This window comes from Homo sapiens, chromosome 7, assembly GCF_000001405.40.
Source record: "Homo sapiens chromosome 7, GRCh38.p14 Primary Assembly".
NCBI classification, from domain to species: domain Eukaryota; kingdom Metazoa; phylum Chordata; class Mammalia; order Primates; family Hominidae; genus Homo; species Homo sapiens.
Genome location: NC_000007.14, coordinates 27,239,966 through 27,254,347, shown reverse-complemented (window position 1 = coordinate 27,254,347; position 14,382 = coordinate 27,239,966). Strand labels below are relative to the sequence as shown.

At 54.5% G+C, this 14,382-nt stretch overlaps 1 protein-coding gene and 1 long non-coding RNA gene across 4 annotated transcripts, besides 5 other annotated features; one reads left to right on the top strand and one right to left on the bottom strand.

Annotated features, from left to right (window-relative positions):
• Positions 2,315 to 3,018: an enhancer, noted in NCBI's record as "H3K27ac-H3K4me1 hESC enhancer chr7:27290949-27291652 (GRCh37/hg19 assembly coordinates)". NCBI's record gives its function as "activates a minimal SCP1, AML or CMV promoter by ChIP-STARR-seq in naive H9 embryonic stem cells {active_cell/tissue: H9 hESC(naive)}" and the evidence as "EXISTENCE:reporter gene assay evidence [ECO:0000049][PMID:30033119]".
• Positions 4,476 to 5,699: an enhancer, noted in NCBI's record as "VISTA enhancer hs629". NCBI's record gives its function as "enhancer in: dorsal root ganglion[4/8]" and the evidence as "EXISTENCE:transgenic organism evidence [ECO:0001131][PMID:17130149]".
• On the bottom strand, positions 6,518 to 11,546 carry EVX1 (even-skipped homeobox 1). Of its 3 annotated transcripts, NM_001304520.2 has the most exons (4): positions 10,946 to 11,546; positions 9,830 to 9,881; positions 9,044 to 9,300; positions 6,518 to 8,462 (listed from the first exon to the last, which is right to left on the bottom strand). In NM_001304520.2, exons 3-4 carry the CDS (start codon positions 9,179 to 9,181, stop codon positions 7,923 to 7,925), a joined length of 678 nt encoding a protein of 225 aa, NP_001291449.1. In that variant the 5' UTR covers positions 9,182 to 9,300; positions 9,830 to 9,881; positions 10,946 to 11,546; the 3' UTR covers positions 6,518 to 7,922. The 3 variants fall into 3 exon arrangements, with proteins under 3 accessions (NP_001291449.1, NP_001980.1, NP_001291448.1); NM_001989.5 differs by lacking the exon at positions 9,830 to 9,881 and having other exon boundaries at positions 10,891 to 11,546; NM_001304519.2 differs by lacking the exon at positions 9,830 to 9,881.
• On the top strand, positions 7,119 to 12,919 carry EVX1-AS (EVX1 antisense RNA). Its single transcript, NR_120507.1, has 4 exons — positions 7,119 to 7,387; positions 12,338 to 12,433; positions 12,707 to 12,799; positions 12,898 to 12,919. It is a non-coding gene; the product is annotated as an EVX1 antisense RNA (long non-coding RNA).
• Positions 7,911 to 8,520: an enhancer, noted in NCBI's record as "H3K27ac-H3K4me1 hESC enhancer chr7:27285447-27286056 (GRCh37/hg19 assembly coordinates)". NCBI's record gives its function as "activates a minimal SCP1, AML or CMV promoter by ChIP-STARR-seq in naive and primed H9 embryonic stem cells {active_cell/tissue: H9 hESC(naive and primed)}" and the evidence as "EXISTENCE:reporter gene assay evidence [ECO:0000049][PMID:30033119]".
• Positions 8,521 to 9,129: an enhancer, noted in NCBI's record as "H3K4me1 hESC enhancer chr7:27284838-27285446 (GRCh37/hg19 assembly coordinates)". NCBI's record gives its function as "activates a minimal SCP1, AML or CMV promoter by ChIP-STARR-seq in primed H9 embryonic stem cells {active_cell/tissue: H9 hESC(primed)}" and the evidence as "EXISTENCE:reporter gene assay evidence [ECO:0000049][PMID:30033119]".
• Positions 11,051 to 11,928: an enhancer, noted in NCBI's record as "H3K27ac-H3K4me1 hESC enhancer chr7:27282039-27282916 (GRCh37/hg19 assembly coordinates)". NCBI's record gives its function as "activates a minimal SCP1, AML or CMV promoter by ChIP-STARR-seq in naive and primed H9 embryonic stem cells {active_cell/tissue: H9 hESC(naive and primed)}" and the evidence as "EXISTENCE:reporter gene assay evidence [ECO:0000049][PMID:30033119]".
• Positions 12,920 to 14,382: the final 1,463 nt, after the last annotated feature.

The following is a 14,382-nucleotide window of genomic DNA, read 5'->3' as shown; positions in this document are numbered from 1 at the left end:
TGAGCCTGGGAGTTTAAGGCTGCAGTGAGCCTTGATGGGGCCACTGCACTCCAGCCTGAGCAACAGAGCAAGACCCCATCTCAAAAAGAAAAAGAGAGAGAGAGAGAGAGAGAGAAATTCCAACTACTGAAAGAATATATAAACCAAAAATTGGCAATATTAGATGCATACAACTTGGGCCTCCTAGTCAAATTCTGCAACCCTTACCCTTTTGTTCTCTGCCAAATCACCAGGATTCAGGAGGGGACCTTCTCTCTACTCTCCTACATAGTATCTCTGTTAAGGAGCTACTTCTGCAGTATTTATCCACTGACTTCCTTGCCAGTTCAACAAGTTCTTCACAGCTTTTGTCAATGCCTTTACCTTTACCTCCATAGTTTCTCTACCCTGTACATACATACCCATCCTATTCTATTCTCTTTGAAGTTCTTTCTCTTTCATCTTTTGTTATAAAACATTATATTTGAGAATAACAGGGGAATATGAACTGATATTCTGCTCTCAGTTAAAAAATACATACTGCACCATGACTGGTGCAGAGTAGGCCCTCAGATATTTGCTAAATAAAATTCTTTTTGACTGCATCCTGCAAGGTTTAGGGGAGACAGAGCATCTTATAAGGTGTTCAGTTCCCTAACTCTGGTGGGAAGCTGGACAAAAGAAGAAATGCTGTACATCATCTACATCAAGCCCCATCTCCTTTCTCTTACACAGTAGAAAAATGAAGCTGGGAGAATAATGTAATAAAAATTCTACAGTGATTTAGGGGCAGAACCCAGACTAGAAACCACATCTTCTGTCTTCTAATCCAATGCTAATCCCATGTAGGCACAAATTGCCAGATGCATGACATGTAAGGACTGGGAGGCAGGGGATGGCCACCCCTCCTCAAAAGGGGGCCTTTGGTTCAGACCCCAGATGCTCCATGTCTGCCCTCCAGCCAACTACTCCGAGGGTTTGACCTCCACACCTCATTGGGGCTGACTTCTATGTGGATTTTCTGTTTGACATGTGGAAGAGTTAGACCTGTCCTGGCATAGCAGGACACCCTGAAGAGGGAGACTAGACCTTGCCTCCTCTTCTACCCCGGGGCTCCTTGCAGACTGTGCTCCCATCTCCCTCCAGGCTCCAGTGAGCCAGGCGGCTCCAGCGCAGGTCTCTGCACCGCGCGGCTTCCAAGCGCCTTGATGAGACGTGTTTAATCTTCCACCCGGATTATTTAACCTCCGCATCCTTGTTAACAAACAGCCATTATTAACGAGATGGTAGACCACATGGGGTGGGTTTGTACAGACAATGAGAGCTCCCTAGGCCTTTCTGCGAGCAAATTCATAATCCTCAGCGACTCAGCCGGCCCGAACCCTCTTACACAGAAAACTGAGTCGAACCCGGTGGTCTGGGCCCTTCCCCACGACCCCCGGGGCTGGAGGCTCCGTCCTCTGCAAACAGCTGCATCTCTCCCTTTCTTCCCTGCCTCCCACTCTCTTTCGCTCTCCCAAGGGGTGGCCACAGTGTGTTATAAATTTTACCTTTCCAGTGTGCAGGAGAGGCGAGAGGAGGCTCTGTCCCAGCTCCGGGCCTGCCTGTCTCCGAGGACACCAATTAAAGGCACTAATTGGACAGCAATACATCAAAGTCGCTCCCGGGAGTGAGTCCTCAGAGCACCAGGAATCCGTTAGTTGGGCTTTTGTTTCAAACACAGAAATACAGAGGAAAACACACACACACACACACACACACACACACACACACACACACACACACCTCTACGCGGGCAAGAGTAGGGCTCGTGCTGTGCCGCGTGGGCTCCTCTGTCTCCGCGCTCGCTGGGAGCCTCTCCCTCTCCTCTCTTTTTCCGGCTCGGCACATCAAACGATCGTTCCCGCTTCTCTGTTCTGAGTTCACCTCACTTACTTCTCCAAAGAGTGCCGCCTAGAAGGCCCACTCTTCTGGGACACGCACACTAACAGAGCCCGCGTAGACGCGGCACGCGGTTTTACCCAAGAGCGCCAGTTTCGGGAGAAACAAAACCACCTCCCCGCGCACATCGTTCTGGTCTTTCCCTAAACAGGTTGAGGGAGGGCAAGTAGACACCTGGGGAGGCACCTGTCGCCTGGACTCAACTGCACGGGGTCCTCACGAGGCTCCCGGACGCCTGCGGGAGGAGGGCGACAGAGGGGAACTGGCCTCACCCAGGAGGGGTTATTTCAGGATACAGAAAGGGACACTTCGATGGGGGAAGGAAAGGATTCTTCTCTGAGGGAAGTAGACGCTGCTCACAGGCCCAAGGGCCCCCAGAGGAGCCAGCCATGGAAAGGGCTCCGGCCCAGAGGGACGTGAAGCGACCCGGGCGCGCTTCCCGTCCCCAAATGGCAAGCGGCGGGGGTCGGGGAAGCTGTGGAAACGAGGTTCTTTCCCCGCCATCGGCTTAGAAGGAAGGCCAAGCCTCCAGAGTCCAGAAGCTACCAGCAACCTGTGCCGCGCTCGCAACGAGGCCTTCCGACTTCAGCTACAAAGGCCTCAGCGCCCTGTGGGTCAGACCCAGGCCCGGGGGTACGAGCCCCGTACGGGGAGGGACGGAGACCCGGGCACAAACTGGGACGTCCTGCAGTCAGCGTCCGGGGGCTCGCTGTTCCTCGGCTTGCCCAGCCCGGGCCACACGCGCCCGCTGCCTGCGCGAGGGAGGCGGGAACCTGAAGCCGGCGAGAGCGAGGCCCGGCCCGAGTCGCCACCGCAGCCACAGCCACGGCGCAGGCTGGCGCGCCGGGGACCCTCGGCCTCACCTGGGTCTTGGGGAGGTCAGAAGCGCCCCTAATCCTACAGGGCCACGCCCGCTCCTTTCCCTCGGGGAGCCAGATTGGAATGGCTGCTTTTGATCCCATTTGTTACCAACCCCGGCATTTGTTTTCCATTTTACAAACGCTTCCCTTTAAGTAATTGTCCCTGTTAACAGCGTATACCTTTCAGCAGCGCTCACTGCGCTATAAATAATCTCGATGAAGACGCAAGGATATGACTTTCACAAGATTGGACAATTGATTCAATCTGTGACCCGCGATGGCGAATAATATTGGAAGGCTATTTAAACAGATGAAGGCCTAAATTGTCTTGCTTGTATCTGAATTAATTTCTCATTCATCATCATTATGAAGTGATTGGTCTATTCAAGCTCTTCAGCCTGCTGGAACGGAACGGGATTTAAATGAGATTGTAACACAATTTAAATGCTTGCCGACTTTAACGAGGCCAATTGAGCAGCTGCAATAAATATAAATATTTTTCTAAACAGCCGTGTTTTAAATTATTACTTAATGCTTTCATGTTTTTTTAAGTGGCAGTCTTTCTCTCCCTCCTGCTCCTGCTCAGAATATCACATACTTATTTGCTGAAAAGGTGATTTTGGAAACAACTTTGTGTTTCTGTTTGCTTTGTAGACAGTAGGATATGTTTTGTGATTGGGTTTTGTTTTGTTTTGTTTTGTTTTGTCTTTTTCTCAGAGTCAACATTTCCAGGGTCCCTCAAGCTGGCACAAATGGTGAGCTGAGCCTTAGTTTCACCCTAAAGCAGTCTTCTGTGCTGCCCCCGCAGAGCTTGGGAGGAGCTGAGTGATGGAAGAAATTTGTCGTTTGGATCTAGTCACTTATCCAGACGCAGTTTAGCTGGGTTTTGCAAATGAATCCGTGTTATTGCACTTACAAATGACACCCTGAAGAGTGGCATTGTTTCTGATTTGTACTGATGACCGTCATCATCTTGAACAAATCAGAATTCCAACATATCCCAAAGGTATCCCTTAGAAAGCTCAATCTGCTGGCAGTTTGGCTTCCTGCAAATCAAAAGGAGTAGGTGGAGGCTGACTGAGGATTTCTTTATTAGGGAAGGGGCACAGAAAGAGAACTTTGCCATAACAAATGGTGGCAGGATGGTGGAGGAGGGGGTTGATAATTAGAGAAATGCCAATTTTGTGGCCTCAACCTCCTTTCTCTCCTATCTGTAACCCCACTCCTACTCTTTCCTCTACCATTCTTGGGTGATGATGTATGGAGAGGATGCTAAGATCCCTACTTTGAGAATGCCATCCGTCTGGACACCTTTGGCGGCAACTGTCCACCGCGACACTCACGCTTATTCTCCGGCGGACATATGGTGGCTGGTGTTTCCGCAGTTGGGGAATAATGGAAGCAACCAAGCGGGAGAAGCCTGAGGAACAAAAGAATCTTTTAAACTTTAGTGAAAGGGCCGGGGTTGGGGATGTGGGGGGACACTCGACTTACTGTGAGGACCTGAGCCCAATTTCGGGGTGACTGTCTAAGGCCATGTCCCCCCCGAAAGGCCTAGGGCAAGGAGATGCATTCTGAATCTCTTCTCCCTCAATCCCTGGTCGAGGGAGAGGGACTTCCTGTCTGGAGAGTGCGGGTGCAGGGTTTGAAACTAGGAAGGTGGAGTCAACATAATCACTAAAGAAACCGTTCGTGGGGCATGCCACATTGGGAGACAGGATCAAACTGTAGGACAGAAAAAAAAAAAATACGGACAAGGATGCAGAAACCAAGTAGCGATTTGCTATGTAACTGAGCAATTTAATGCCATAGTTAGGGAGCTGCTAGCCAGAATCATTTTGTCTTCAAGGCTCTGCGGAGCTCATCCTCTTTATCCTGTTGTTTAAAATGAGCATTATCCCAAACATATGCAATGCAATCAGTTTGGTCACACTTACAAGAACACGCTTTAATAAGGCAATCAATCACACGCTAACAAGCCAGCAATTGCCGGGGGCCGGTGCACACTCGGGCTGCGGGGTGGCCAGCCTTGCCCAACTGGGCGAATCTGGGCTGGGCGCTGGACCGCGCTCCCAGGCCCTGCCGGCTGGCCGGGATTGAAGAGCCCTGGGAAAGCGTGAGTCGGGAGTGAGGTGTCAGGCTTCACTGGGGGTTACCTCAGAATCTGTGCCCCAGAACAGGGTAAGAGAAGAGGAAGTGGGAGCCCGGAGCTCATAGCTACATCGGCCACTAATAGCTGTGTAGACCTGGAGCCTCCGTTTTCCCTCCTGCAAAATGGAACCGAGATGAGGCAAAGCTAAGTAGAGACACTGAGAGAGTTGAAAAATGAAAACAACATCATGCTAGGCCCTGGTCTAGCCTTCTCATTTTACAGATAAGGAGGCTGTGATTGTGAAGGGGCAGTATCTTCTTCAAGTCAACTCCCACTTCCTCCCTGCCACCACCCAAATGGAACGTGTCATGCCAGATGGGGTAGCCTGATGCAAGTGGGCTAAGAATATTTGGGGGGAGAGGGGGAGTGAGAAGTCGTGCCTAGCGCCAAACCGCAAACCTTGGCAAAAGGGAAATTTCATTATGAAGTAATGAGTAATTCCTCCTGGCAAGATGTATTGTTATATCTTCCACTTCAATTTGGAGGAAGAGAGGCTCAATTACCCAGAAAATACAGTCAATTAAAGGCTGCTGATTGGACACGAAGCTGGATCATCGATCTTGTACTTTCCAATATCTCTGCAGACACCTCATTTTCCCTCCCTATTAACTGAAAATACGCCTGGCATTAAGGCAACATGCAGCCCATTTACCTGTCGCAAGCAATCTCTGCCCAATATGGAGCAACTGCAAAATTTACCAGGATTTGGCACTCAGGAGCTTTTGGCTGCAGGAGAGGGGGTGCTGGAAACCTCAGGGCACAATTTGCTTGGGAGGGCACCTGCTACTGTGTGCAGGAGGATTTGCTGTGGAACCCAAGGAGGGAGGAGGGCATTTGAGGAGTCTCTATGTGCTGGCAAAGACAGTGGCAGAGGACTCCTCGTGTCTATGCAATCCAGAGCCTCCTGGACTCCCAGAAGGCACCCATCTCTCCCCTGCTTAAGTGGAACTCCACAACCAGCCACATTTGGCTCTCCTGTGGGGGATGCAGGTGCGGGCTGGAAGGTAGCTGCTGAGCACTCCTTTCCTCTTGTCCTAACCCCTCAGAATCCCACCCTCAAGATGACTTCCAGTATGAGGACAATTCAGACCAAGATGATCCCAACCAAGGAGCCTTCCTCCCTGCTGTCCTCCACCCTCAAGTGCAGACCCAGTTTGACCAGAAAACTCAGGTCTCTGCAGTACTCAGGCTCTACTGCCACTGCCCCACTCACCTTCCCTTTGGGCTGGGGTGGAGGCAGGTTGCTCAGAGACCACAACCTGGGTCCCCTTTCTGTTGCTCAAAGGATTGGAACAACTGGAGAAGAAACCACAGGGGTGGGCCCCTGGCAGCACTCTGCTGCCACTTTACCAAGGAACTGTTCCCAACATACCCAAAATTAAGGAAACATGCACCCCAGGGCAGCTTGGAGCCTGTCTTCTCCACCTCCATGCAATGGCTGCTTGGAGCCTACCAGTGACAAACAGTGGCTTGGAAGACTCTGTGGGTCCATCTTTTGGTTCCTTCCCTATTCGAACCCATGGTGGCTGAAATAGCAACTTTAAAATTCAGTTAAGAGCTGCCTGCTGCCACAAAAACTAAAATGTAAAGTGAGAATTATGTCCAGCTTTTATTGCAATATGGTTAACGAATCATAACAGCAAGTTCTTTGGGCTTCAAAGGAAAACCCCAAATCAAACCAAATTCATTCCCTACAGGAAGAACCACTCCCTCTCAGTCAGGGTGAAGCTTGCATTGGGGTTACACGTTCTCCTCTTCCTCAAAAACTGGCTGCAAGGATGAGTGTGGGAGTGAGGATTTGGGAGTGGCTCTAAACAAACCCTGGTGGAGGCCACAGACAGGGTCCCCAAAAGGGACAGAAGGCTCCCACTGGTATCTGAAAGTCAAGCTCCAGTGGTAGCTTGGGAAGAAAATGAGAGAAAGTTGTAAAATACCCAATGCAAAGGGTAGGGCCAGAAAGTTCCTGGTGAAGTGAAGGTGAACAAGCAAAGGATGAAAATTGCCTCTAATTTACCGCCAGATACCGAGAGAGGGAGGTGAAGTTCCCACTCCCTAAGCTCTTCCCTGGGCGCCTTGTTAACAGCTCAGCTCTGGGGTCAGTGGCCAGCTCCATGGTGATCATTATTACACATTCAACATTCACAAACCCTCCTCGCACACATCACTTGCTAATCAGGGTGTGTGCTGGGCCCAGGGAAAAAAGGCTTGGCCTCATAGAAGCGGCAAAGGGCTCCTGGGGCATCTGCAGCCTCCCTGGCCAACAAAAAAGTGGGGGCAGGGAGAGATGGAGCCGCAAGTTGAGAAGTGTCACAAAGCTGGGAATGAGGAAAGAGATCAGGTGCTGGCAGACGCCAGACCCAGAAGATGCTGTGTAGTCGAGGCTCCAGGTCCCATGCCAAGGGGCTGGATTCTCCCTGGTAGTAAATCATCTCTCACTCTCTCCTCCAAATGACTGGTATGTTGCCATCCACCAGCCCCTTGTCATGCCTTGGAAAAGCTGGCAAAGATTAATCTCTACCTGCTCTGCATACACAGCATTTTGTTCAGAGAGACAGCAATTTCCCTTTCCAGTGCTTGGGCCTTGGCTGGGGAGAGGGGGCCCGGTGAGAAGGGAGTGTGAGGTGGAGGGTGAGGGGCCGAGGGGCCGAGGGACTGGATATTGGTTGCTGTTGCTGCTAAGTTTTGTTTAGCTTTGGAGCTACAGCCTCGACCCTGGTGGGGGGCGGTGGGTCCGGAGGCTGCCCCGGAGGAAGGTCTCTCAAGCTCTGCTTCCCTATCCCCACTCCTGCTCCCCAAACGCGCCAGCCACCGCCACTTCCTAGGCTTTCCAATTCTTGCGGCCGGATCCCGCTGGTCCTTTTCCGCCCTCTCCTTTCCCCCTTGGCGTCCTAGGGGCGAGGAGCGAGGAGCGAGGAGCGAGGCTGGCTGAGTCCCGGGGCCGGGGGGTGACCCCACGGGCGTCATGGAGCCGGCAGCCAGCCGGCGGCCCCTTATCTAGTGAGGGGCACCTCCTCCCTCTGGTCCAGCGCGACGGAGGAGGCCTTGCTGAGCACCGAGGGCGCGAAGGTGAGGAAGGAGTCCGAGCGGGAGGTGGAGGCACAGGTGAAGTCCGAGGCGGCGGCAGCCCGGGGCGCCAGCCCGTTGGCCGGGCCGCTGTGACAGGCGAGGCAGGAGCAGGGGCCGCCGGCAGAGGCGCCCAGTCCGTGCGCGGGCCCGGGGTAGAGCGGCGGGTGGCGGAAGGCGCACAGCAGTTCGGGCCGCGGGTAGGGCTGCGACAGCACGCGGAACGTGTCGAGCGGGCGCAGCGAGCCGCTGAAGGGCGAGGCGGCGGCGGAGGCGGCGGATGCGGCGCCCAGGCCCACCGGCGAGTAGTAGGGCAGGGGCAGGTGCGATGGGAAGGGGTAGGGCAGGCCGCCCGCGGCCGCCGCATGGCTCATCATGTAAGTGTAGAAGGCGGGGTCCGCCGGGTGCGGCCACGTCATGGCCAGGCGCTGCCGCTTGTCCTTCATGCGCCGGTTCTGGAACCACACCTGGGGAGAGGAGCGGAGCAGGTTCAGTAGCTGGACTTGGCCCGATGCTCAGAGGCCAGTAGTCTGGTCCCGCTCCGGGGACAGTGTTCGCAGGGCAGGAACAGCCAAAGCAGACACCAGCCGGGTAGAGACCGACCCCACCACCACCACCTGGAGCTGGAATCCCTCCGAGAGAGGTTTGGGGAGTGACTCCAGCCCGCTCCCTCCTTCCTTCTGCCCAGGTGGCCAGGCCCCCGGGGTGCCAGAGGCCAGTGTGTGTATGGGAGGAGCAGTGAAAGGACATGGACTCAATTGGTCTGCGGCCGCAGAGAGCGTGTCCCCAGAAACTTCCTTGTCACCCGCACAGGCACTCTATCCCCTTCCCCCACGCCCACCCCTTGTCTATTTAACCAGGAAAGGGACAGAGTCAGCCACATGGCAGCAATGCCTGCCTAGGAGCTGTCACGAGGGTCAATCTGCACGCGCCGGGCAGGGAGACCCCAGGCCCAGATTCCTGGCCTGCGTTTCAGGGAGTTGGCAGTTGGCATTTACTTCCCGCTAAATAGGTGCACACCCGCCTCCCCAGCCTGGACCCCGCATACCTTGATGGTGGTTTCCGGCAGGTTTAGGGCGGCCGCCAGCTCACATCTCCGCGGCCTGGATACGTAGTTCTCCCGGTAGAATTCCTTCTCCAGCCGCGCAATCTGCTCTCGGGTGAAGGCGGTGCGGTAACGACGCATCTGGTCACTGGCGCTGCACGCCAGGGTGCCTTGCGAGCCGCCCCCACCACTGCCGCCGTTGCTCTTGGGGGTCTCGCTCCCTCCGTTCGGACTGCCGACCAGCGCCTCGGAGCCGGACCCTGCACAGCGAGTCCAGAGCACAGGCGTGTACAGACACAGACACACAAACGCCATTGAAGTGGGGCTGTAGGCCTAAGGTGGGAGGGTGATTTGGGAAGGGACACCCTGTCAGCCACCTCAGTAACTGTTTCTGCTAGGGTACTGCGGCCTCTGGGGAACCCAAGAAGGGAAAATAAGGGCCTGCCCTTGATTGGGTAGGTAGAGGTCTTTGGGGAGGCCTTCCCTTCCTCTAAGGCATCCTGGGTACAGGGGTTCCCAGCCGCCCTTCCCACCTGCCCTGGAGCATAGGTGAGATTTCTGCCTCCCGTTGGCAGGGCGTGCACTTCTGACAGGCACATGAGTTGAGATGCACCTTTGTGCTAGAGGGTTGTAAACTCTGGGTCAAGTGCATTGTAGTATGCTGGGCATTCAGAGAGTTTCCTTGCTCTTATGTGTGACGGGCTGCCAGAACAGGTGTGGGAATGTGTACTAGGTTCCGTGTATTGCAGGGCTGGAGTGAGAATGCATGTTGAGTATCTTATTTATTACCTTAGTATATGTGAGTGGAGTCCAGGTTGTTCTGAGGGTTATGGGAAGGAGGCTGGGTGAAATCGGTGATAAGATAGTAAGGGGTAGGTGCAGGTATTCAACAAGGCGTTGGCTGCCAAGACCAGGGGGTGGTCTTTCTCCCCCCCGCCCCCAGGCTCTTTCCACCCACTCCTACAGTTCTGTGGAGGAGTGTCTGCTGGTGGGCTCCCCTCTCCTCCCCCCCACCAACCCGCGCCCAGTTTTCTACCCCCTTCTGGGGAGGTGATTGTTGGCACAGAGGGAAACTCCCTTCCGGGCTATCCACCCCTTTCCCATTAGCCTTTGGTGGGGAGGGGTTCTCCAGTTAAACCAGCCCCCCTTTGGGCCTACCTCTGAGAAGGGTGGGGCTCCAGCCCCCTGCAGCTCCTTTTCCTTTGGGTGGAGAAGTGGGACTAGGAAGGAAAGGGGAAGGGGGGAGGACCCGATCTCTGCCTTTTCAAATGCAACCGGAGACCAAAGGCAATTAGACCATTGGGACCATTTCCGACCTGGCGCCGCGAAGCCCGGGAAGTGACAAGGTAATTTGGACCTCTGACCGACGTGCAAACTGGTCGGAGGGCTGCAGCACCCGGGCTGCCCAAGTGGGCCGCAATTTTACGGTCCTTTATGGACTCCTGGCTTCCGCGCCTCCATGCCTCTTACACCCTGCCAGCCACAAACTGCCCGGATCGGCGTTTGATCTTGCCCTCGCCTGGGGAAAGTGTCTTCCCCGAGCAATTGAAGCATTCCCCGAGCAGTTGAAACACTGGGTGCTTGGGGTGAGCTTCGAATCCCCCAAGTCCAGGACTTGCATCCGCCCCCTCAGCACCCCGCACTCAAGGCACTGCTGTCACCCTCAGTCCCGCCAATGCCAGAACACAGTAGGAGACCCCCGCCAGAACGCAGATAGCAGAGAGAGTTGCTCAGGTGGGTCCCCCCAGCCATCCTGCCCTAGGGGAAGGGAGTGTCTTCCTCCTGGCCTGCGCCGAAGTGAAGGGTGGGCGCAGTGGGAGGCCCGGGGAGCGGAGGGGCACGGTGGCTACCTTTGCTGTGCTGGTACTCGGCGTTCCCGGTGGCGCAGTCCGGGGTGCAGCTCACCTCGATTTCTTCATAGAAATCCGACTCGGTGTCCGAGCTACTGGGTTGCCCCTGTCCGGAGAGGCTGTCGACTGAGGGGGCCGGGGGTCCTGGGCCGAGCATGGCCGCCCCAGCTACCTGGGGCTCGGCGCCCGGCCCCGCCGCGCTGCCTGCGAGTCCATCTACCGGCTCCTCCTCCGGGCCTCCCCCGCCGCGCTCCCGGGTGGCCGGAGGGACGGCCCGAGGGCTCAGGCAACCACGGGGCACCATTTTCTCGGGCGGCTCCGGCAGCGGGCTGCCCACGGCTTCGGACAAATTTGAGACTCTCTTGCCAACCAGAGTGCCAAGCTGACCCCCATCCAGAAACACAACCATGTCCTTTCGGCTCTCCATCCCGGGGCTCTCCGGTGGGGGAGGGGAAAGCCCCAAGTGAGTTCCTAACCCCGGCTCCCTGGGTCTCCAGCGGCCGGACGGATCTTGGTTGCAAGAGGGAGAAAGAAAGGCCGGGTGCCTGGGAGGGCGCGGAGCTGCTGGAGCGCGGTCTGGACCGCGACCGCGGCGGTGGCGGTGGGAGCTAGGGTCACCTTGTGAAGCGAGCGCTCCTCTGTGCCGCACCGCCTCTGGGAGGAAGCCCCATTGCCCTCTTCTTTCTAAGCTGTCATCCTCCTGCTGCAATCGTCATTACAGTACCGCTGGTGACGCCACTCGGCGAGCGCAAGTGGATAAATAGAAACGTCTGCCACAGCGAAGATGAAAGGAAACCCGCAGCTAATGGCTCGGCAGTGATGCGCCAGGTGTGGGCCTCGCTCGATTGGGGAGGAGAGTGTGAAAACAGACAGAGAGACACACACACTGAGAGAGGGAGACACCCAGGCAGAGGGGATGCAAATGGAATTCCGCAGAAAGAAAAGAGAGCTTAACGCGCGCGGCGAGTTCCGCAGGGGCAGCGGGACTCGGTAATTAAATAAGCTTTTGATTTTTTCTTTTATTGTTGTTTTGACTTTTGTTTTCTTAACTTGGTGCCTTGATCTAACACCGATGAAAGAATCCATAACTGCATTTTAGAAGTGTGAAGCCCGGCTTACAAGCCTCAATTCTGTCGGCATTATTACAACTGTCTGCCCCTGGCAGCTAACCTCAAACTGGCTGAAAAGTCTTTTTACAAGCTACGGAAAAATGTATTCCCCCGCCCCAAGTTGACTGGAGAGCTTGAGGCTGGGCCATCTTTTCCTCTTTTCTCCTCCCTCTCCCTACCCACCTCTGTCTCCTTACTCCTGCGAACCAAACTTTGCTATTTTTCTTCCCTAAGGGGCAAGAAATAAATACCTTATTATTATTTTTTAATTTAAAGACCCGCCTTGGCTTCTGTAAGAGTGTGTGCTGATTTCTTTTAAATACCTCCTTCCCATCTAGATGGCCTTAAGTTTTCCACAGCCTGGCTTCATCTTGAGATGGCTATTCGTACAAGAAGTCGCTTTCCCGTTTGCCTGGACCTCGCCTGCACTCCAGGTATGTTGGGTGGGGAGAGTTTCTAAGAGTTGTCTTTTTTTTTCCCTTGCCCATATTTTAAAGTATTCGTTCAGAATCAGCGAAGTCTCCTGGAAAGAGGTTTTTCGAATGAAGAGGCGCCAGGAATGCGGCCCCTGCTGTGGCAGTACTGGAGGCCCCTACTTGGGAGAAGGCAGTAGCTTTCACCGCGCTATTTTGGGCAGGGGTTCAGCCTCCCCGAGTACAAAAAGGTTGGGGTTCATAGAGGTTTGACTCATAAGGTCCTCTCCCAAGTCCCTGCCTAGGGGCAGTGGTACCTGTCTCCAAAAGTGGATGGCGTTTGAGGTAGAAGAGAGTGAAGTCGCTGAAAATGCCCTAAAACAGCAAGTAAGTAGGGACTCTGATGAAGGGCTGGAGGTGGGGGCAGGGGTTGTGGAACTTAATATCTGGAAGCTGCCATAGGCCTCTCTTGGCTCCTCTCCCAGGGAAGAAGCTGGTATAAAACTCCTTCAAACTGACCCTTTTTGAGCTCCAAGCAAGTGTGCTGGGGCCAGGTGGGTGGGCTGAGTCTATCCCCACATTGCTGAGAGCAGGAGGTGGGCACCTTCTATGCTCAACCCCCCTTTCTCCGCCTCCTCCCGAAGAGCTTCTAGCCCTAGGCAGCCAGCTGCAAAGGGCAGCCCAGCACCTCCCTCCTTTCTGTGTCCCTAGCAAAGCCCCAGCTTTTACAGGTAAGTCCTCTTCCGTGACCTTTTTATCTGTTATCTCCTACTTTTCTCTCCTCCTTTTTCTCTTTCTGTATTCTTCTCCTTCTTTGCTTCTCTCCTCCATCTTCCTATCCATAGGGTTAAGGAAGGTAGAGGAAGTAAGGGGTCCAAAGAAAGACAAAGTTTCCTCTTCACTCCGGCTTTCCACTTCTCTTTCAGTCTAAGACGATGTTCATTAATCTTGCCTGGGGGCGGAGGCAGCGGGATCCGGAAGGTAGTGTCCACATAGATATTTCTACTCCTTGGGACTCCTGAAGCCACTATATGCTGAGCACTGCTAGCCCCAAAATCCAGGGAAATGTTTTAGAGGTGAGAGGATCAATTGGGAGTGAGGGGAGTCAAATCCTAGAACCTTTTCCTGCCTTGGAGAGCTGTCCAGGTATTCTATCTTTCTCTGTCCTCCCTACCAGCAGCCACAGCCTGAGGGAGCACCTGGCTTGCTCTCTTTCCTGTCAATGGCAAGCCCCCTGGGCATCTGTCTTAGAGCTTCCAAGGTTGCCTACTCTCTATAGGGCCCTCCAGCACTGGGCCTTTGAGGTGCCCACCCTCCTTTCCTCCTTGAGCGCTTAACCTTCTCGTGAGTAGCCTGCTGCCCCCATCTCCTGGGGGCTGGGTCCTCAGAGGGACTCCTGGCTCCCCACCCCGCCCCCAGCTCTGCATTCAATGGGAATCCTCTGTTTGATCCGCTTTTCTTCTGGGTGAGATGAAAGCCGAGTAGGAGTGAGAGATCAAGGAGTGCCACTTAGTCTGCTTCCTGGGTCGGGCCCTACGGAGCAGGGCTTACATCCCGCGGAGAGGGCTGGATGGAGCTGAGGACCGGCTTTTCAGAGGGAGGTTGCCTCCCTTGGGCTCCAGATCTGAAGCTTCAGGGACACATCCCCTCAGCCCAAAGCCTTCCCCAGCCCTCTCCCGACTTCTGCCCCGCTCTTTCAAAGCTGACTGGCCAGTCTTAGGAGCCTAGGGAACCACACCCACCCCCGCCCCTTTCCACCGGCGCATTAGGGGGAAAACGTTTTAACCAAATGTCACTTCTTCCAAAAGCATCCTTTCATCAACCTCACATTAAGAGCGGTTGGGTTTTTAAAGGAAAGAAGACAAAAAAAGAGAGGACTGGATAAGAACACTGTTTTGGTTTTTTGGGCGGTGAATGTGGGGGGAGTATTTAATAACATCGTTATCACTGTGTCGTGAAGGTTATTCGCG

Coding starts and splice junctions, on each gene's coding strand:
- EVX1 (NM_001989.5), bottom strand. CDS start 11,317: ATGGAGAGCCGAAAGGACATGGTTGTGTTTCTGGATGGGGGTCAGCTT. Junction 9,301..10,890: donor CGAGTACCAGCACAGCAAAG/GTAGCCACCGTG, acceptor CTCGCTGTGCAG/GGTCCGGCTCCGAGGCGCTG. Junction 8,463..9,043: donor TGCCGGAAACCACCATCAAG/GTATGCGGGGTC, acceptor TCCTCTCCCCAG/GTGTGGTTCCAGAACCGGCG.